At 37.5% G+C, this 23,018-nt stretch overlaps 1 protein-coding gene across 4 annotated transcripts in view, besides 1 other annotated feature; it reads right to left on the bottom strand.

Annotated features, from left to right (window-relative positions):
* Positions 1-23,018, bottom strand: part of HMCN1 (hemicentin 1) — a 456,559-nt gene that overhangs the window by 384,472 nt on the left and 49,069 nt on the right. The window lies entirely within an intron of this gene.
* Positions 7,694-7,894: a silencer, noted in NCBI's record as "peak509 fragment used in MPRA reporter construct". NCBI's record gives its function as "represses an SCP1 promoter by STARR-seq MPRAs in K562 erythroleukemia cells {active_cell/tissue: K562}" and the evidence as "EXISTENCE:reporter gene assay evidence [ECO:0000049][PMID:32103011]".

Below are 23,018 nucleotides of genomic sequence, written 5' to 3'. Positions count from 1 at the left end.
CCTCCTGGGCTCAAGCAATCCTCCTACCTCAGCCTCCTGAGTAGCTTAAGACTATAGATGTGTGCCACCAAGTCCAGCATTTGTTGCTGGATAAAACTTTCCTGTTAGGGCTCATAAACATACAAAGTAAATCTGAGAAAAGCACTCCCTACATATTGGAAGGAGTAGAGACTACTGCTTAAGAATGTGGGCTCCAGAGTCTGAGTGTGCTTGAATCCCATTTCTGTCTCTTATTAGTTGTTCAGGCATTTAATCTCTTAATGACAGTTTCCTCATCTATGAAATGGGGGTAAAATAGAACTACTTCGTAGAGTTATTTAAATGAGTTAATAAATGAAAGAACTTAGAACTATAATATGTAACAAGCTCTTAATAAAAGTTACCTATTATTATATTATTATTATTATTATATCAAGTTTGTACATGCTTGGATTCACTCTACAATCAGCTCTTAATTTCTTAAGCTAGAATGACTCTTCCACAATGGGGAATATTTTCCCTAGGAATAAAAATGATAGGATCTTTTTTAGCTCTATGTAAAAAAAATAAATGGAAAATGAACCATGCCCTAACCATGAATGTGGCACCAAATGGTAATGATTAGAGCACATATTTTGTCTGCACCAGAATCAGCTCAAGTATTGACTCTACCAATATAGGAGCAGGACACAAGGCTGACATGCTGTGCTGCTCACAATACCTTCAGAAGTACCTTTTGTGCAGCATGGGTCAGGGTTAGACATACGCAGTAGAGAGAGGCAGTGACAGAGAGAGGGAAGGAGAGAAATAGCACATACACTACAGCAAAATCCTGCTTTCCAGAATAAATTTGCAAAAAGATCACATGGTTAAAATGTTTCTCTAAAGTAACTTTGCCTAAATATTTTTGAGGGATATAGAATACATGTATTCCTTTTTTGTCCTTTATCAATAATGAGATATGACAAAAACTCAACTATAATTCCCATAAAGCTCAGAAGTACCAATGAAATAGTCAGTCACTTTCATTTCACACACACACCAAATTGTCATCTCTACCTAAATGTTATTATGTAATGACAAAATTTTTACTATTTTCAGAGGGAAGATATTTGAACTTTTTGGCCTCTGCACTTGATAATTAGAGGATGGGGGTACAAAACTGTCACTTGTCCATTTCATAAGCATATCTGGGGGTTGGAGTACCAATAAAAAATATTTTGGGAAATAAAATTTAAAATGTTGCAAATTCTACTGTACTTATAACTGTGAAAAGTATTTTAATGTCTTTAGAATTTTTTAAAAATGCTATTGTATCTCACAAGCTTTTCTCATGCTCCCAGTGTAAGGTTAGGCAAGTGAAATTTAAATAAAAGACTGCCATCAATGTAAGGAAAATATGCCATCAGAATAATTTTTCCCCACTAAAAACTTAATTAAAATGGTTCAAGATACATTTTCCACTAGAATCTGTCAGGTGTACAATTCCTTCCAAATGCTAATCTCATCCATTTTTCTAACCAAACTATTACAACAAGTCAATAGAGAAATAGTATAGTTTTTTTTAAAACTAGGTCAATAAACATTACCTCAATACAAAGCACATTACTTTCTAACAGCAGGAATCTGTAGTCTCGTCATAACATTCTAAGCCCCCTCTGAAGTTTAAAGAGCAGGGATTTAGGAAGACTATAAAGAAGGAACTACTACAGCCATGACAGGAAACAATTAAGACATAAATAAGAATTTCTGCGGAATCAGGTCAAAGTAAGGACACATTTAAGAAATGTCCTAAAGGTGTGAAAAACAGACACAAAATGAAGTAATGGTTGGAAGGAGAGGTAGAAGGTCTAGTTAGTGCTAAAAGAACTCGTTTTAAAAAGAAACCTAAAAGCTTTGAGTTGAAAGTCCTAAACCTGTTTTTAAAAATCCACACTACTAAAAAAATTCATAAAGACTTTGAGTTGTGGGATTCCATGATCAATCCTGAGATCTTGCAGGAAATGAAGCTGTAGTATTAAAGTAAATCAGGCTTCCTTTTCCTTTAGTCAGTGAAGCACTCTCAAGGTATTTAGAAGAAAAAGATCTAGTTATTTGAGTTTAGGTAATAAACATTCCAGATGACTGTCAAACAGACCACAACTCAACAAACACTAGAATCATGATGACTGCAGTTATAATGTGCAAAGCAGTCAATGTTTCAGTAAGCAGACATACAAATTAAGGATTTGTTAATACCATTTTTGTAATACTCTATGGGTAATTGTTAGTGTTATTAACTTTGCAATTTGTTAGTGTTACTAGGAAAACTAAAATTATACTTTGAAAACATAGAGCATATAAAATGCCCTCTTTAGCCATTTCAATTTTTAAATGAAAATTTTAAAAAAATCTGACTAGTAAACTCTTTGTAATGGTTGATTTAGAAGGTATGAAAAGAGATGAATTTAAAAAAATGTCTCTTTTCTGTACCAATTCACACATCTGGGGCTCTAAGAGGAATATTTCAAAAATAAAGACAAATAATTTATTTTTGTTGACAGATAACTAGAGGATCCAAGAAGATGTATTCTGAAGACAGCAATTGAATGATAGCCAAAAAGCAATGACTAAAGTTTGCTGAATCCTGGAATATTGGATCAGGAAGGCAACTTGGATATAATCTCTTCCAATGCCTTTGTTTTATAGATGACAAAACTGAAGGGTTGGCTTACCTAAATTTACACAAGTTGTTAGGAGAGGATAAGAAGGTTTTAACAGAAATCAAAAAGAAATTTTTAGCATGAAAAGTAGTATCTGAAGTATAAGGAAATTTGAGAACAAGTAGAATTCTACCTAATCTCACTTCCCTATTCCTAAACAGGTACTAACTATTCAAAAGTGCCCTTTCTGCCTCATCCTTTTCTGTCCATTTTTTAAATGTTGAAAGAATATCTTTTGTTAGAGACTTACTTTTCAACTCCCTTTTTTCCCTCACCACAAATCGTTTTGGAAAGTAAAACTGACTGGGAGAAAAAATGCTATTGAAGAAAAAATAATGGATCTTTCTGCTCAAATGACCAGATGTTGCTTGAATTCCACAGATAAATATTCATCTTTGCTTCTATAGACTTAAGTTACTATGATGAAAGTTTGTAATGAAACTGTAGTCATAAAGATGTCAAAGCTATATATTTAAGGTGTTTATTAAGGTTAAAGTAAGTTTACAGGACCTTATCTTTCCCTTTTTTATCTTACTATATTTACTCCCCAAAGTCAATTTCCTCCTTGTTTTGTTTTTTTTTTTTTTTTTTGCTTTTTTTTTTTTTTTGGTTCTGCTAATTTTAGTAGAGGCATTTACTAAAAAAGATACTTTTTCTTCTGTGAAGGTTATTTTGAGGGAGACTCAAGAAATTCACAGAGAATTCTGACAATCCTCTATGCATAGATTTGTGCAAATAAGCATTCGGATTCTAGGAGCCAAAGAGAAAAAATATGCAGTAGGAGCTTTATTTTTCTGGAAAGTTCTATCTCTCTACTGCATATATCCAAATACTCCCTCTTTTCCATAGCTTTTAAAGCTTTCAAGTTTCTACAATTTATAAAACACAAAAACAAAACAACAAAACACCTCCCTGTTCCCCTTATTCTCTTTCACTATCATTCCATCTTTCTCCCCCCACTTACAGACAACTTGCCGAAATATTTATCTGTGATCACTATTTCTTCATCTCCACCAAAGCTTCAATTTTAGTTAAGTCTGGCTTCTCTCCCGACACATCACCAAAACAATCCTGAGTCAAGTCAATTACCTTTATGACACTAAGTCAAATAAGCACTTTTCAGTCTCCATCTCACATGGTCTCTCAACAGCATTTGGTACCACTCTCATTCTTAAAACACACCCTTTCCTTGGTGGCCTTGATATAACATTGTCCTGGTTTTCTCTTTCCTCTTTCATCCTTGATTCTGGGTCTTTCAGTTGCGTGCTCTTTCTTCCTTACCTGGCAAATAAGGATTCTACAGCTCCTAAAGGCCTATTCTTAGGCCATTGTACTACACTTTACCTAGGTGATTTCATCCATGCCAATGGGCCTCAGTTAAAAACTACGCATGGTGATTCTAGTCTAAGGCAACTTTCGCAGAATCTCTTATATCAAGATGTCTAGTCTACATTTGTACCGAAATGTCCCTAAATCATCTGTAGTTTGATGTGTCAAAACAAAAATTTATCATTTCACCTCTACCCTTCAATCTGATTATTTTCTACTGGTTCCCATGTCTATGAAAAGTACCTATGTTCATCCAATTGCACAATCCAAAAACTTAGGTGTTGACATGATTCACCCCATGCCTAGCCTCACTCCTCCCCTACCCAAGCCATCACTAAATCTTATCCATTTTATCCATTAAATAGCTCTTGAACTTCTCTACTTTTTCTCATCTCCTCAACCACAACCTTAGTCCTTTTTATCTCTCAGAGAACCTAGGGTATGTAAAGAGCCCTAACATTTCTTCCATCATTCACTATGAATTCCTCTCTAATCCATTCCCTACAGGGAACTGAAGTATGTTTTCTGGGACATAAACATGATTATATAATCTACCAATTAAATCCTTCCAATGACTTTCTATCGCTCATAGGATGCAACTGAAACTCCTAAGCATGGACAACAATGCCTTGCATGGTCTAGTTTCTACCTACGCCTCCAGCCATCCTTAACTCCCTCCACACCTTTTAGTTTCTCTTACTTGCCTTGCACACTTTTATTCCATAGGACCTTTCCTCTCTGTCCGTTCCCTAGATTGTTCTTCCCTCTACCTTTCCTCTTATGAACTGTTATTCCTCCTTGCCATTTAGTTCAGTCTTCACTCCCCTTAGGAAATTCTTGCCTGAATCATTGAACTAGTTCATACTCTCTAAGTCGCATTTACATTTTCAACTGTTTAATGTGACTATTTAATCAATTTTTGTCTCTCCACAAGACTGTTAGCCAAAGTGAGAAGGGACTTCATCTGGTTTTGCTTTTCCACCATCTCAGGGCCAAGTGAGTATCTAGCATGTTGCAGAAGCTCAGTGTTTGTTGAATAAAGGAGCAAATGACCAAACTACAAACCTAGAGTACTGAACCGTTAGAACAACCTGCAGTTGTTGGATATCTCATGAAATAAGTGGAAGAAGGATGGATCTAATCATTTGAGCTGCGATTTTTTTCCAGAGCACTTATTTTTCTTAGCACACAAGTGACAATATCTTAGCCCACCGACTTCTTTCTGTTTTGGCACTCATCACTAACATGAATAAATCTGAATTATTGACCAAACCCTAACTATGCAAGTCTTTCATAGTAGCATTATATACTTTTTTTCTTTCAGGAAGTAATTTGTTTTTCTACTCAATTTAACTGAAAACAAATGAAGCACCTCTTGTGTACAGTCGTTATATCAGGTGTTGTGGCACTGTGCTTGTTCATTGTCAAAGTTTTGTTTTGTTTTTAGATGTATCCAAAACATCTCATCTTTTGCTTTGTACAGGTTTTTAAAAGCTGCAAAGATCAGAGTAGAGTAGTGACCCAAGAAGAGTACAAACACTTCTTTAATAAAATTATTAAAAACAGTGGTTTACTTTCTTAGCTGACACATAAATATATTTTTAAATACTTTTATTTTCCACAAATATAAGACAGAAGAAATGCTATCAGACATTCATGTTTCATAGATGGCCAAATATTTTTTTCTATAGTAAGTACACTTATTTTCTCTTTAGCATAACAGTTCATAAATACTAAGACAATTCATAAATTGGGTATGGTTAATTCAAATACTTTAGACACATTTTTAGTGAAAGATCTAATTCACTTGCAAACGAAGTTAAACATGAAATTGAAGTTGTTCCATTTATAATTATTTATAATATTTCCTACCATTTAATAAGTGTTTCCTATGTATTAGGTGCTTATCACTAATCTTCAAAACAACCTGTAAAATAAAATATTATATAAAATATAATTAGTCATATTTACAGAGGGGGAAATTATAGCTTGGAAATGCTAAAGACTAAACAGATGACTGGATGATTTCCAACATATAGTTAAAATAAGGTGATCATGATGAAGGGGTTTGAGATGACTGACTAGGTGTGGCTAGCACTCACCTTTTCCACAGAGAGGAACCAAAATGTAAGTAGATATTCACACTTCAACTAGATCGTCTAAGGGAGAACACTGGAATCCAACAGAGAAGTGAAGGGAAGCACTGAAAGCAAAGAGGGAAGCAATGCAGCCTGCTTGGCTGAGATTACTGGGAGCTAGGGCAAGCTTCTGGACACCAGCAAAGGGTAGGGGAGAGACACCACGATCAAGTGCATGTGAGCTAAGTGGGTCCCACTATCACCTTGTAGGCTGTGGAGCCTGGGCCGCCCCTCTTTCTCCATGTGGGCTCTTTGGCATGGTAGAGGCACCTCTGCTGCACACTAGAACATTGCCCCAGTAGCCTGAGAACTGCCTTCTGACCCCATCAGGGCTGGTACTTGTACCCATCACTGGGGTATCTACATATGGGCGTGCCCAACCCAACCCTATCCAGTTTTGCTCCTGATACCCACCTCAGTGGCAGAACATGGGACAGGGACTCCTGGGAGTTCCATAGCCCCACCCATCACCTGAGACAGCTCAGTATTTCTGGTTAATAAAGGTCAAGCATAAATCCCATTGCACTACCACAGCTGTCTCTCTTGCAAGAGCCACCTACTGGCCAGGAGGTCACCTGCACAGCCCATTATAACATCTGCTGGCATAACTGCATGGTGCTTGGGTGGGAGACAAGTTTTGTGAAACCTCAGCTACCAGCATGCCCCTAAACACCCCAGCTACTCAGCAGGCCCTGAGCTCACTGACCTACCTGCCACTACAACGGGCATTTAAGAAAGCTAGAAAGCTACCACACCAAGGGTATTCATAACCTAGGAAATCATAGAGTCTACACCATTCTTGCACTTTTGCCCCCACTCCCCCCACAATCAGGGCTGGTCCTTGTGTCTGCCATTGGGAGATCTGAGGACAAGTCTTCCTAGTCTAGCTCCAACTAACTTCACCCCCACTCTGGGGCTGAGAGTGGAGTCCAAGCCATTGGGCATCCCACAGACCAGCCCACTGCCTAAGGTACCAGAGAGTTTCCTCCTCTACTGGCCTGGAGGTTGACCTGCACAACTCCATACAAAATCTGCTGACACAAATGCATAGCACTTGGGAACAAGATAAGCCTCTTGAGACTTCCACCAACCCAGCTCTGCAGGAGACTATGAGCCTGCACACATGCAGAGTATATCCCAACTACAACCAGCATTTGAAGAAAGTGACCACACTGAGGCTATCTATAACCAAGGAACTTATACGATACTTTGCCACCAAAAGCACCCTTAGAACCAAGGCCAAAAGACCCTAAACAACATATATTATAGTCACATCCTAAAAAGGAAGAAAAAAGTTGTATCCAAATGAAATTAAATTCCAAAATAAGAAATAGTATATGCATATGATTAGGAACCAAAGACATAATTCTGAAAGTATGAAAAAGTGTTACAACACCCCAAAGGACCACACTAACTCTCTAGTAGTAGGTCCTAATCAAAATAAAATTCTTGTAATATCAGATAAAGAATTCAAAATGTTGATTTTCAAAAAGCTCAATGAGATCCAAGAGAAAGTTGGAAACCAACACAAAGAAATCAAAAGAACAACTTAGAACATGAAGGAAAAATATATCAATGAGATAGATAGATATATTTAAAACCCCAGAACTTCTAGAAATGAAAAATTCATTGAAGGAAATACAAAATACAGTTGAAAGTTTTAACAATAGACTAGAACAAGCAGAAGAAAGAATCTCAGAGTCTGAAGGCAGGTCTTTTGAATTAACCCAGTCAAACAAATATAAAGAAAAAAAGAATTTGTTAAAATGAACAAAGACTTCAAGTAGCATGGGATTATGTAAAATGTTCAAATCTAGGAGTCAGAGGTATTCCTGAGGGAGAAGAAAAACTAGAGTTCGTAAAACCTATCTGAGAAAATAGTTGAGGAAAACTTCCCAAGTCTTGCTAGAGATTTAGACATCCAGATCTAAGAGGCTCAAAGAACTTCAGGAAAATATATTGAAAGAAGTACTTAAGCAAGACATACAATCATCAGCCTAAAGTCAGCAAGAGAAAAGCATCTAATTGCCTATAAAGGAAACTCTATCAGACTAACACTGGACTTCTAAGCAGACACTTTATGAGGTAGAAGAGATTAGGGTCTTATTTCCATAATTCTTAAAGAAAAAAACTGTCCACCATGAATGTTGCATTCTGCTAAACTAGGCTTCACAAATGAAGGAGAAGTAAAGTCTTTCCCAGACGAGTAAATGCTAAAGAAACTCATCACCACCAGACTGGTCCTAGAAGAAATGCACAAAAGAAATCTAAACATTGAAATTAAAGGTCAATACCCACCATTATAAAAAGAACATAAAAGTATAAAACAAGTCTTTTTTTTTTTTTTTTTTTTTTTTTTTTTTTGAGACGGAGTCTCGCTCTGTCGCCCAGGCTGGAGTGCAGTGGCGGGATCTCGGCTCACTGCAAGCTCCGCCTCCCGGGTTCACACCATTCTCCTGCCTCAGCCTCCCAAGTAGCTGGGACTACAGGCGCCCGCCACTACGCCCGGCTAATTTTTTGTATTTTTAGTAGAGACGGGGTTTCACCGTTTTAGCCGGGATGGTCTCGATCTCCTGACCTCGTGATCCGCCCGCCTCGGCCTCCCAAAGTGCTGGGATTACAGGCGTGAGCCACCGCGCCCGGCCAAAACAAGTCTTATAAAGCAATTGCATAAATGAGACTATAAAACAACTAGGTAACAATTAACATTATGACAGGAACAAAACCTTACATATCAATATTAGCTTTGAATCTCAGCACTTTGGAAGGCCAAGGTAGGAGAACTGCTTGAGGCCAGGAGTTCAAGACCAGCCTGGGCAATATAGTGAGACTGCATCTCTACAAAAATAAATTGTTTTTAATTAGCCAGATATGGTAGCACACACCTGTCCCAGCTAATCAGAAAGCTGAGGCAGAAAGACTGCTTAAGCCTAGAGGTTTGAGGTTACATTGATCTGAGATTTGTGCCTCTGTACTATATCCTGGGCAACAGAGCAAGACCCAGTCTCAAAAACAACCAACCAAAAAACAAAGAGACAACTTTTAGAACGGAAGAACATATTTGCAAAGTATGCATCTGACAAAGGACTAATATCCAGAATCTACAAGGAATTCAAACAACTCAGCAGGAAAAAAACAACCCCATTAACAAAAATGAGCAAAGGACATGAACATATATTTTGCAAATGAAGACATACAAATGGCCAACAAACATGAAAAGATGCTTAACATCACCAATCATCAGAGAAATGCAAATTAAAACCACAATGAGATACCATCTTACACCAGTAAGAATGATTATTATTAAAAAGTCAACAAATAACAGATGTTGTCGAGGATGCAGAGAAAAGGAAACATGTATACACTACTGGTGGAAATGTAAAGTAGTACAACCTCTATGGAAAAGAGTATGGGGATTTTTCAAAGAACTAAAAATAGATCTACCGTTTGATCCAGCAATCCCACTTCTGCGTACCTTCCCAAATAAAAAGGAATCATTATATCAAAAGGGTATCTGCACTCGTGTTTATTGCAGCACTATTCACAATAGGAAAGATATGGAGTCAACCTAAGTATACATCAATAGTTGACTAGATAAAGAAAATGCAGTGTGTGTATATATGTATGTGCAGTGTGTGTACATATGTATGTGTAAAGTGTATATATGTGAGTATACACACACACACACACACACACACACACAGACACAAACTCAGCCATAAAAGAAGAATTAAATTATGTCTTTTGTGGCAACATAGATGGAACTGTAGGCCCTTATCATAAGTGAAATAACTCAGAAACAGAAAGTCAGATTCTCACTTATAAGCGGAAGCTAAATAATGTGTACGCATGGACATAGGGAGTGGAATAATAGACACTGGAGACTGAGAAATGTGGGAAGGTGGAACAGGGATAAGGGATGAGAAAATACCTAATGGGTACAATGTACACCAGGGGTCCTCAACACCCAGACCATGGACCCATACCAGTCCGTGGCCTCTTAGGAACTGGGCCACACAGCAGGAGGTGAGCAGCATTACCTCCTGTCATATCAATGAGGGAATTAGATTCTCCTAGGAGCACAAACCCTATCGTGAACTGTGCATGGAAGGGACCTAGGTTGTGCACTCCTTATAAGAATCTAACTAATGCCTAATGTTCTAAGATAGAACAGTTTCATCCTCAAACCACATCCTTTCACTGTCCATGGAAAAACTGTGTTCCACAAACCCAGTCACTGGTGCCAAAAAGTTTGAGGACCGCTGATGTACACTATTCAGGTGATGGTTACGCTAATAGCCCAGGCTTTATCACTACATAAGATATCCGTGTTAACAAAACTTCACTTTACCCCTTAAATCTGTAAAATAAAATTAAAAAAATAATAAGGTAGCATAGCTATAGCAGGCACCATAAGGTTATTCATTTCATTGATCAACAAACTTTTAGCACGTATCTGCTATGTAGTATGTGCTAGACCTTGTGACATAAGAGTGAGCAAGAGAGACATGATACTTGGCCTTCATCATTGAAATTACTTAGTATATTTTATTAAAATCCACTAAGAGGAAGAAATCGGTGTTGCAATTTAAAAGGGAAATCCCAAGACCTTGATTCTTTAACCTGCTGCTTTCTAGCATTCCGGAGGTTAGAAAAGTCTTTTTTATATTCTAGACGTGCTCCTCTTCATGATCTATCAATGTAAACAGAGGTCATGTCTTTTTCTGAGAACTTCAAACAATCAGAAAACATCCCCACACTCAGGACATTCCTATGAGAAGTAGTAAAGTAGAATTTGGCACCCAAACACTCATCACAATTTCTTGAGTTGCATCCTTGGCATGAGGGCACCAAATTTTATGTGTTACTAGAAGGTCATTTCAACAGTCAGAAATTGATGATTTGTAATGCAACCAACTCAACATGCAGCTCTTGGGAAAAAAAGGTTTCTCTTGGGAAGAGAATTTAAAATGACTCTTTATTTTTTTAGGACTCAATGATTATATGAAGTAACAAGATAAAAATGTACATTTCTTGGACAGTTAGGAAACTGAAATATTTGGGTTGGCAACAGAAAGTTACAAGTAAATCAAAGGCACTATAGCTTCCGTCAGCTAGTGGCCAATTACTATGGGAAAGAAATTTCACAAGCTCGACTATGACCACTCCACCTTTAAAACTCTATTAGACACTCAGTTGTAGAACAACTTTTGTGAAAGCCAGTGTGTAGTTCATTTATTTAGGTACTCTTACTTCTTCTTAATGCAACACATACATGCATAGTTCCTTCAATGGAAAACCAAGACTTCTAACTGCTCCCAGAAATAGACAGTGACCTTAACGGGGAAAGTAAACCATTCCAGAACTGATGTAAATATTCCAAAAGTTAAAGTTCTAATCTAAAAATTTCTACCCCAAATATACAGAGAATATATAAATATAGTGGCACTACTTTCATTTTTTTTACAAAAGTCATATTTTGGGAATATTATCACAAGTTTTTTTAAATCAATGTTGTGATGGTTAATACTGAATGTCAACTTGATTGGATTGAAGGATGCAAAGTATTGATCCTAGGTGTGTCTGTGAGGGTGTTACCAAAGGAGATTAATATTTGAGTCAGTGGGCTGGGAAAGGCAGACCCATACTTAATCTGGGTGGGTACCACCTAATCAGCTGCCGGCACAGCTAGAATATAAAGCAGGCAAAAAAAAAAAAAAAAAAAAAATGTGTAAAGACTAAACTGGCTTAGCCTCCCAGCCTACATCTTTCTCCCGTACTGGATGCTTCCTGCCCTTGAACATCAAACTCCAAGTTCTCTTTTTTTTCTTTTTTTTTCTTTTTTTTCTTTTTTGGACTCCAAGTTCTTCAGCTTTGGGACTCAGACTGGCTTCCTTACTCCTCAGCTTGCAGATGGCCTATTGTGAGATCTTGTGATTGTATGAGTTAATACTCCTTAATAAACTCACATATATATATATATATAATCTATCCTCTTAGTTCTGTCCCTCTAGAGAACCCTGACAAATACAAATGTACTGTATACATTCAATAAAACTTAGCTAAATTCATAATTGGGGCCTGAGAGCGTAGCTGCATTACAGACTTGTTAGGATGTTCTTGCTATTTTCAACAAGATTTTTTAAAAGTTTTTTTTTCCTTTTAGAAGGTGAAAAACAAAATGGCAAAAGAATCTATCAAATAGAGATAAAACACTGGACAACTGAAACAAATCGTAACATTTCCCAGAGCTGTGTACTTATCAAGAAGTTTTCCAGAAAACAAGTAACAGCATCGGCAGTGAAAAATTAATGCCATTAAAGTCAGAAATTATTAGCATTTGGAATACATGGGAATAACATATCTAAATCCAGTTAATGCCTCAACTTTCTGATAGTTCTTAGTAAAAATTCAACTCACTGGTTCTGAACTGTGAGTCGTTTTTTAGGTCTTCATATAGTTCATCTGCATATGGCATTCCAGTATTCTCAACTAAGCGGTATGACTTTTACCTCCAAGGGAAGTATATCAGAATCTCCCTGGAGGCATATATTATTTGAAAAATGTCCCCTGAAAACCCTGGGTGACTCTTTAAATGCCTCCCATCTCCTGTTTTAAAAAAATGAATTTAAATATTTGATATCAATTGTCTATTGACATTAATCAGCATTTTAAATCTTAGTTAAAACAATTCAACGATTTAGACACTTCCATATTAAGGTAACTATGATAGGCAGAATAATGGCCTCCCAAAGATGTCCACATCCTAACCCCTAGAACCTATGAATATGTAACTTTATATGGCAAAAGGGACTTTGCCAATATGATTAAATTCAGGATCTTGAGATGAGGAGATTATCCTGGATTATTCAGATGGGACCAAAGTAATCACAAGAGACCTTACAAGAGGGAGGCAAGAAAGTCGAGTCACAGAAGATTTAACAATAGTAGCAGAAGCCAGCATGAAGCAAGGAAGGAACCAAGAACCAAGGAATGCAAGTTACATCTAAAAGCTGGGAAAGGCAAGGACATGGATTTACCCCTCCAGCCTCCAGATGGTAAGCATCCCTTTTGGTACTTTGATATTTGACCCTCTGTCCTTTAGAACTGTAATATAATAAGTTAGTATTGTTTAAAGCCTCTAAATTCATGGTAATTTATTACAGCAATAATAGAAAACTAATATAGTACCACTATGTCAAGAACTGTAAAATCTATCAGAGCCATGCTAGAATTAACTTTGACTGTAGTAACCTAAATGTATCTACACAAAACCAAGAAAAAAGGTGTTGAAGCTGTAACTGTCTACAAGTTGTTTTTCCAATGAAATGCTGGCTCCTCCTATACACTAGATAGTTTATTCTTGAGCCTAGAGACTGAAAGCATTGCTATAAAACTGCATTATTAATCACAATTTGAAAATTGTTATAAAACAATATATTAATAATCACCCATTTTTAAAATCCCTTCATTTAAATAATTTTGGTATAGTTTGCTGTAACACATGGGGGTGATCGTAGACCTACCAGTAATTGGTAGATGATATCACAGCAGCCTCAACCGTGAAGTACCAATGTGAGGTACAGTCACAAGGAGGACCAAGAAGCGATTGTGAGCTAACTGGAAACTCCTCAGTAGGAACCATTCTGTCATTTCTATATCTTAGTAGGTAATAATCACTTTTAGAGCTTTAACTATGAAAAATCATATATGATAAATGTTATTCCTTAATCCATATAATGAATTTTAAAATTTTATTTTTACTTTTTTTTTAAAAATGCACAAAGAAGATTCTGGGGCTGAATAGAATCAAGTTTATTTTTTGATATTGTGTCTTTTTGGAGCTGAGATATTTAAATACCAAACATGATTAATTCAAACAGCTCCTGTCCTGGACATTCTGAGAAAACAATTTTCTACTAAAAAGATAATAGGAATAAGCCATCAATAAAAACTAGAAGGATGCTTTGAACAGTTTTCTTTACAGTTGTGAATGATTTATGTCAGTCCATTAAAACCTTATATTTCACTTACCATAAGTCTGTGATTGGGAATACAGTTTGTGGCTAGAAAATTGATGAATGCTATGTGGTCCATTCAAGTACAAATAATTGTTGTTATTAGCATGGTGATGGCCCCTTACAAGGTAAGATAACCAATCTTATCACCACACTACCTTCAGAGTTATCCTTCTAAAATGACCTCTATATTCTTTTGAATATTTGTTATAGTTATTTATTCATGTCTTTTTCCTTTTCCAGACGGTGAGTTTCTTGAGGGCAAGATTTATTGTCTCATTTATCTCTATAATTTCATTGCTTGGAAGATAGTAGGCATTTGATGAATGTTAATTAAATTAATCCATCTACCCACCAGTACCTTCAATTTCCTGTTGGCCTACACCTGGGTGAAGCATATCCTGGAGCAAGTGACAGAAAAATCACCTATTGCAAGCTCAGAATTTACATGGGTTTGCTTAAGCTATTTAAGATTGTCCTACACATTTATAAGGTGTTAAAAATAATATCACCCAGTTTGAATATATGAAGAAATCATGACTGATTTAATATTTCTGAGTACTTCTGTTTGTTTGTTTGTTTGTTTATTTTTGAGATGGAGTTGCTCTGTTGCCCAGGCTGGAATGCAGTGGCACAATCTCGGCTCACTGCAACCTCTGCCTCCTGGGTTCAAGTGATTCTCCTGCCTCCACCTCCTGAGTAGCTGGGACCACAGAAGCCTGCCACCGTGCCCAGCTAATTTTTTTGTATTTTTAGTAGAGACAGGATTTCACCATGTTGGTCTGGCTGGTCTCGAACTCCTGGCCTAAAGTGATCCACCCGCCTCGTCCTCCCAAAGAGCTGGGATTACAATTGTCAGCCGCCGTGCCCAGCCAAATTTTTTATGTAAGTAGAATAATTTAGTTTTCAGTGTAACCCACATCACTCTACAATGTTCATGGTCAATTAACATAAACTTTTCTACTTCCTTTCAACCTAAAAATATTTCTGAAACTTACCATACTTTCCTTCCAGTTTATTTTATTCACATAACAGCAAATATTTATTGAGGGCCTACTATGTACCAGACACTGTAAGAGGCATGAACAAACTAGTTATCTCTGTTCTCAAGTGTACCGAGAAAGATAAACATGAAAACGAGCTGTGCATTTCAATGTGAAATGTAGGTAGTAAGGGAGCCCACAGTAGGAAGCTCTGACACCTAGGAGTCTACAGATTTAAGTCTAAGCTGAATCCAAAGTATGAGTAGGAAATTTTTAGGTACAACAGTTCCACATCAATAAAGTTAGAGGCCTGGAAGTGAAGAAAAAAAATAAGTTTGGAAAAGTATAAATAGAATAATATAGGAGGTGCACATTTTGTGACATGGGTAATGGAAATAAAGTATGCTTAACCTTATATACACCATTAGTCTCTCATAAATAAACAAATAAATAAATAAATAAGCTAAGGCTTATATGTCATGCTAAGGACTCTTGGAAGAAAAAGTTAATCATAACCTCCAGTTTCCTCTCAACCCAGGGCAGTATCACTCTGGAGAGAACATCGGAGAATGTGTGTGGCATTTTTGGTTGGCATAATGGGGGATGCAATCAGCAATTAGTGCCTGGAGGCCAGGGATGCCAAACATCCTGCAATGCTTAGAGTCCTTCATAAGGAAAAATTGTTCCACCCAAAATGCCAACAAGGCCCCATTGAAAAACACTGCTCTAGGCCATGTGACATCAAACGTCTTTCCTCTCCACTTTTCCTTTGGTGCCTCATGATCTGGAGGCCCAGCAGTTAAACAAGGTGCCCATATGCAGAGAGAAAGAGTCACAACTGCATCTGTCTGACCTCAAAGCCCTGTTTCTTCTATTAGTCAGGATAAAGCAGTGATATGAAAACCAAGCATAAAAGACAATGTTTTAGAAAGAACAGAGCAGTGGTAGCATCACAGTCTAAGGAAAAGAGAAGAAAAATGAGACTGACAAAATCACTGTTTGCTTTGGCAACAAGCATGTTGTTGGCAACAGTTGGAGAATAGTAGCTTTATTACAAGGAATACAGGAAGGGTTGATTAGGAAGTGGAAATTTCGAAAGGTTAAATGGGTGCTTTCAATAAATTTAACAATGAAAAGATGCATATTTTAAAATAGTTTGAAGGGCTTGTTAGTTGTAGCAGCAAGTTTTTGTTCTCACTGTTTTTGGTTTGGTCAGGACACTATTTCTTTGCACTAAGTAGGGTGTGTGTCTGTGTGTTTCACAAATGACAGGACAGACTGTTTGCAAGTGACAGCCAAGACTGATTGAAGGAGAGTGTCTCAGAGGAATGGAACAGGAACAGATCTTCTGGGAAGGTAGGCTCTGACAAACACTCAAGTACTGAAGCTCTTTTAAACAGATTTAGGCAGTATCTATAGTTGTTAGCAGTTTCAGCCCAGAGATAGGGGGAAAAAATAGAGTTAATGACTGCACCAGTAAGTGGTAAACTTTGAGATTATCTCTGACACTAGCAGAGAGGCTCTTTGCCTGAGCCCACAGTATCTAAGAGATAATAAAACTGGCTCTGAAAACAGCTAAGGCAGAGGCACTAGAAAGATCATCACAAGGTACATCTAATGTAATCACAGCAACCACAATCACAGAAATGGCCTTCACTGAGAAATGTGGTAGAGAAAGTATCATTCTTCATTCATATGTCATATGTCATATGTCATTCATCAGGTTGTTACCACAATCTGTGGCATAATTTAGATAAAATTTATGATCCTATTTTTGTTGCATAACATTTACAACGATATTTCTGACATACAAAGTCACGAAGTGATCAATGTGTGTGATATGCTTTCTAATTAACATAATCAAACATTCTTCATTATATCACAGTGAGAATATGGTAATTAGGAGGCACATCAGTGTTACTTGAGCTATACTGAGGTATGAATACCATGTCATGTTAAACCTCCCTGAACCTACTTGCGCCAGGGTCTCTGTGATTCCTAGTGAGTGCTCACGAACCACCTGAAACTTGACAAGCTACACACAACTCACTACTTCCTCACACCACCTCCCTTCCATCCTTGTTCCTTCTCTTAACAGAAAATCCATTCACCCAACTGCCAAAGCTAGGAACATAAAATAGATGTCTGTCGAGTCACATTAATACTCAATAAGGTACCATTGTTTATGACTACTTTTTTATTGCTTTATAGATTTCAGTGGTGGAAAAGTAGTGACAAATACTACATGTGAATTTTAATTTTATAAAAATAATGTACAAGTCTTTGGGAATTTTAATAAAAACAAATGTAGTTAAAATGTTTTTATTTCTTTATCTCAAAATGCTTATAAAACTTTACCTTATTTTGTAATTTCTCAGAAAACCTTGGGTTAGTCAAATGTTTTGAATTTGTTACTTTATTACATAGGTATTAGAAGGCAAATAATGATCAAATTCCCGTGATTCCTTCAAACTAAGTATGGAACATTTTTACTGAATAAATTAAACTCTTCTTTCTGAATATAATTTTGAAAAAAAAATCCATTAAAAAGAAAAACTGCACTTGGGGACAACCTCATGTCCTCACAAAATGAAACAAAACCTCTGTTCTTCTAAGAGCACACGTGGACACACCAAGGTACAGCTCAAGCGAGCTCAGGAAATGTTTCAGTGATATTCCATTATCCCTTGAGACACTTAACTTCAGCTCATGAAAATGCCAGTGTCTAAGGGATGAAAATTACAATGGCTTCCTGTAAAAACCCCCTCTAGGCTATGGGGCTAATTTAAACGACATGGCAAAACTCCAACCAAACCTCATGCATAGGTTAAAATGTCTATTATTTAAAAGCTGATCTCTGCATTTATCTGTCAACAGTACATCTTTTCCATTTCAAGTTCCACATGTTTTACATGTTCCACAAAAATAAAAAGAAACTATAATGTATTCTAATGTAATATTAATTTTTACTATCTCTCAGTTTTCTTGTTTTCTTTGTAAGAAGGAGAAGGTTGGGCATAACACCTTACATATGTATGTACAGATGTGTTGAACTGACAATTTTATAATGCCACTTAAATAAATGCATAAATGAAGCTATGTCCTCTTTGTGTCGGTTGCACTGGCATAAGAGAAATGCCAGAACTTTCAAATAATCCTTGAAGTATTTCAAAACCAAAAATCAGAATAGAAGATAATAGCATACATTTCAAACTCACCAAACTATTAGCCTAAAATAAATGTAATTTAATTTGCTGGGTCATGAGCTGCAGGAGACAGCAAGCTAAAGTGATTTTTAATTTAGACAGACCTGCTACTGCCTGGGTATCAGTATTTGGGGATGGATGGGTGGAAGATAAAGATTTGGTATATATTTACTCAAGCATACATTCTGAATCTAAGCAACTGGGCCTCAATTATAGCTATCACCTACCTGATTTTTGACCTTTATTAAGTTATCTGACCTCTCTGAGCTTTACCTTAGTATCTGTAATATGGTAAAAATAAATATAGAAATATAGAAAAAATGTATCATAAAAATGGGAAAATAAATAAAACTGCCTCATAGAATTACACAACGGATGTTAGTTTGCTTCCTTCTCTCATTTCCAGCATTTGCTCTTTATACCCTGAGATACACAGGTAAAATACATTCTAGCACTTTGTTAACTTAACTCAAGATTTCAGTCATAAAGAGCATAAGGACTTGCTGGAAGATGGGGAGCCAGAAAATGACAATGAAAGTGCTAAGGATTTTTATGATTTTCTCTCTTCCTTGTTCCCACACTGGTGACTTCCTTTCCAACATACTTCCCTGTTAGCTCTCAGACAACAGGCAGTGTGGATTTTGCACTCTTAGCATGCCATGAGCTTCAGTCAACTGGCGTATCTGGGCACTGGGTGTGCTTCTGCCAATCTTTCCAGACTCTGATTGAGTATGGCATGCGCCTGCTGATTCCCACTCTCCCAGCCCAGAGTAAAAGACCAAGCCAAGCTAGAGTTTAAAGCAGCTTATGAAGGGCATTCTCTGCCACCATCAACCCCAGCCTTAATCTAATTCTTCTCATTCCTGATACAGAGGGTATCCCAGAAGGTAAATATTTTCTGTCTGCCTTTCAGGCCAATTGTTCATTAAAACACACGTGCATGCACACACACACACACACACACACACACACACACACACATACATCATGGCGCTTCATACAATTTTCTCTTTCTCACTCTGACATACACAAATGCACACATATAAACACATTCACCTCATAGGTTCAAATTTAAAGGAACATATTCTAGCTTATTAAATTACATTAAAATAGAGAAAAATAAAGAGAAAATGGTGAAAAACAAAGTTATCTCATGTTAACAGAAGTAAGGCAAAAAAGCATGTCCCATCATTGCACATTTAATTTTTAACAAGCATGGGAGGTGAAAAGTCTCCCTATGAAATGTTGGCAAACGTAGCATTGGGGTGACACATAGTATACGATATGATGACACTAACCACAGATGGGAAATTAGACCACTAGTATGCCCAAAACCTAGAGACTGGGGAAAATGCAACAGTTTTAATTTGGTTCTGCCATATTTGATTTATGTAAAAGTTTCGTGTTGGCTTTATATCTGGAAATGTGTTCTTCTTCAAATAGTTTTAACATTAATAATTTGCAGACTGAAATTTGTGGTTAAATACATTTTTAAGAGGGCATTTGCAGCTAGTAAAGGTTTGCACAGTGATCCATTGCAACTGCTGGGCCCAGTCTAAACCATAGGACAGATTTCCAAGGAAATCAAAGAAAGCCAAGATGCTAGAGAACTCCAGATGAGACAACGAAGCCCAGATGCCAATTTGAATCCAAAGCTTAGCCTCCCTTTGCCTATATGTATTTTCATCCCAAAACAAAATCAGGTTTCTTATTGGCCAAATAATGAGCTCCCTGCAAAGACATAAATGACAGAAGAAAAGGATAATCAACATTAATGGGAAAACAAGAAGGTTAAATATGCATGCAGAGAGAACATGGAAGACTATGTACTGTGTAAATGTAAGTTCCAAACACTGTTTTCTGCATTTCCATGGAAAAACCTCATGTTAGGGAAAATGATTTCTGGGCCTTCGATTTGGAAACTAAAAGAGGCCTCCTTGGAGCTTGATAAATAACAACATCATCATGATGTTATAAAATCACAATGCATTCTTCTTCTAAAATATCTCACAATGTCTTACAGACATCTTTTTGTTAATCTCTATTCCCTGAGATATACATGCAGTATTTTACTGATTATGGATCTCAGTCATACAAAGAATAATGATTTGCCAGTGATAGCTGATAAGCAGAGACAAGATTAGGTACCAGGTCACCCAATTTATATAACAGACCTCTATCCAGTAGTTAATGTCATTTCGAAGTAGAGTAAGTTCATGACAAAATCACTCAAAGTCCCCTAAGCGAGCAGCATGATATATGTGTTTTTAAAATATCCCACTAAAGAAAATGACTATTTCCCAGAACTGTCCTGGGATTTGTTCATGTCAATGACATGTTTGATTTTTAAAGACAGAGAGTCTGCTATCAGCCACAAACAGGATCACATTACATTTGTTACACTGAAGAAAAATGTTTCCTATTTGGCCTTCAAAACAGAATTGCTGGAGTTCTGGGACAAGATGGCAGAACGAAGCCAAATTTGATTTCAAAACATATGTCTGCTTTGAGAAATATATATAAAACATGGGTGAAGAGAAGGATGCTGAATTATTCAAACAATTTTCAATATTTTGTCTGTTATGAATTGGACTTCCAGGGAAAATTAGCAGTTTGAAACTGAGCACAGACTCTTCCTTCCCACAAGCCTAACAAATGAACAAAATAGATTAAAACTGACCAAGAAAAATATAGCAATCAAATTAAGGACGAGGCACAATTTTAATGTCACTTTCTTTTTAAGAAATGGTCACCAGAGAAGAGAAAGTGAAGATTCTAGAAAGTGTACAGTTATCTCAAACACATCCTACTCCTACATACACCAGAGAAGTCAGGAAGAGAGGTGAATGGACAAAATCCCAAATTTTCCACTAATGTCATCAATTTACTTTAAGAAGCAGCCTGGGCAATACCTATCTACCTATTTCCAAGCAACTGTATTCTCAGATATTTATCCAAGAGAAATGAAAACACACCCCCAAAAAGATTTGTACAAGAATGTCCATATTCCCAAAGCCAGAAGCAGTCAAAATGTTCATTAACATGAAGATAGATAAACAAGCTATGGTATATTTATACAATGGAATATTAATTAGTAATTAAAAAGAAATTGTTACATGCAAAACATTGAAGTGAGTGAAAAAAGTCAGGAACAAATGAGTACATACTCTATGATTCCACTTATATGCAAAATGTATCCACGACAGATATCAGAACAATGGCTGCCTACATGTTGGTAGGATTGGCAGAGAAGGGGCATAAAAGGAACATTCTGGGCTTACATGGTAGACGCATTTGTCAAATTCATCAAAACATACACTTAAGATCTGTACATGTTACAATATGTAATTGATACCATGATTAGTTTTTTAAGATACAAAATAAATAAAGACAAGAAGTAGACTGAGAGAATAAGCAGACAATGCAAGGGAAGGATGTAGAAACCCCCCAATAAATAGGCCTCCCTACCATGACAGTGTGTCACAGGTTCAGAAATTTCCACCAAGTCTGTCTAGCTCATGTTTACCTGCCTAGGAAGAAAGCTAAGATGAAAAAGCACAACTATCAAAACCAACCCACTTAATTTCCAGCAATAAAAAGGCAAAAAAAAAAGAGAAAAGTGGGGGCGGTTCCAAGATGGCCGAACAGGAACAGCTCCAGTCGACAGCTCCCAGCATGAGCGACGCAGAAGACGGGTGATTTCTGCATTTCCAACTGGAGGTACCAGGTTCATATCACTGGGGCTTGTCGGACAGTGGGTACAGGACAGTGGGTGCAGCCCACCAAACGTGAGCCAAGGCAGAGTGAGGCATTGCCTCACCCGGGAAGTGCAAGGGGTCAGAAATTCCCTTTCCTAGCCAAGGGAAGCTGTGACAGATGGCAACTGGAAAATTGGGTCACTCCCATCCTAATACTGCGCTTTTCCAATGGTCTTAGCAAACAGCACACCAGGAGATTACATCCTGTGCCTGGCTTGGAGGGTCCCACGCCCACAGAGCCTTGCTCATTGCTAGCACAGCAGTCTGAGATCAAACTGCAAGGTGGCAGCGAGGCGGGGGGAGGGGCGACCGCCATTGCTGAGGCTTGAATAGGTAAACAAAGCAGACTGGAAGCTCGAACTGGGAACTGGGTGGAGCCCACCGCAGCTAAAGGAGGCTGCCTGCCTCTGTAGACTCTACCTCTGGGGGCAGGGCATAGCTGAACAAAAGACAGCAGAAACCTCTGCAGACTTAAAAGTCCGTGGCTAACAGCTTTGAAGACGGTACAGTGGTTCTCCCAGCATGGAGTTTGAGATCTGAGAACGGTCAGACTGCCTCCTCAAGTGGGTCCCTGACCCCCGAGTAGCCTAACTGGGAGGCATCACCCAGTAGGGGCAGACTGACACCTCACATGGCCGGGTACCCCTCTGAGACGAAGCTTCCAGAGGAATGATCAGGCATCAACATTTGCTGTTCAGCAATATTTGCTGTTTTGCAGCCTCCACTGCTGATACCCAGGCAAACAGGGTCTGGAGTGGACCTCCAGCAAACTCCAACAGACCTGCAGTTGAGGGTCCTGACTGTTAGAAGGAAAACTAACAAACAGAAAGGACATCCACACCAAAACCCCATCCGTACGTCACCATCATCAAAGACCAAAGGTAGATAAAACCACAAAGGGGGGA

Source organism: Homo sapiens, chromosome 1, assembly GCF_000001405.40.
Source record: "Homo sapiens chromosome 1, GRCh38.p14 Primary Assembly".
NCBI lineage: Eukaryota > Metazoa > Chordata > Mammalia > Primates > Hominidae > Homo > Homo sapiens.
The sequence above is the reverse complement of the archived record's forward strand: the minus strand, read 5'-3'. Positions and strand labels throughout refer to the sequence as shown.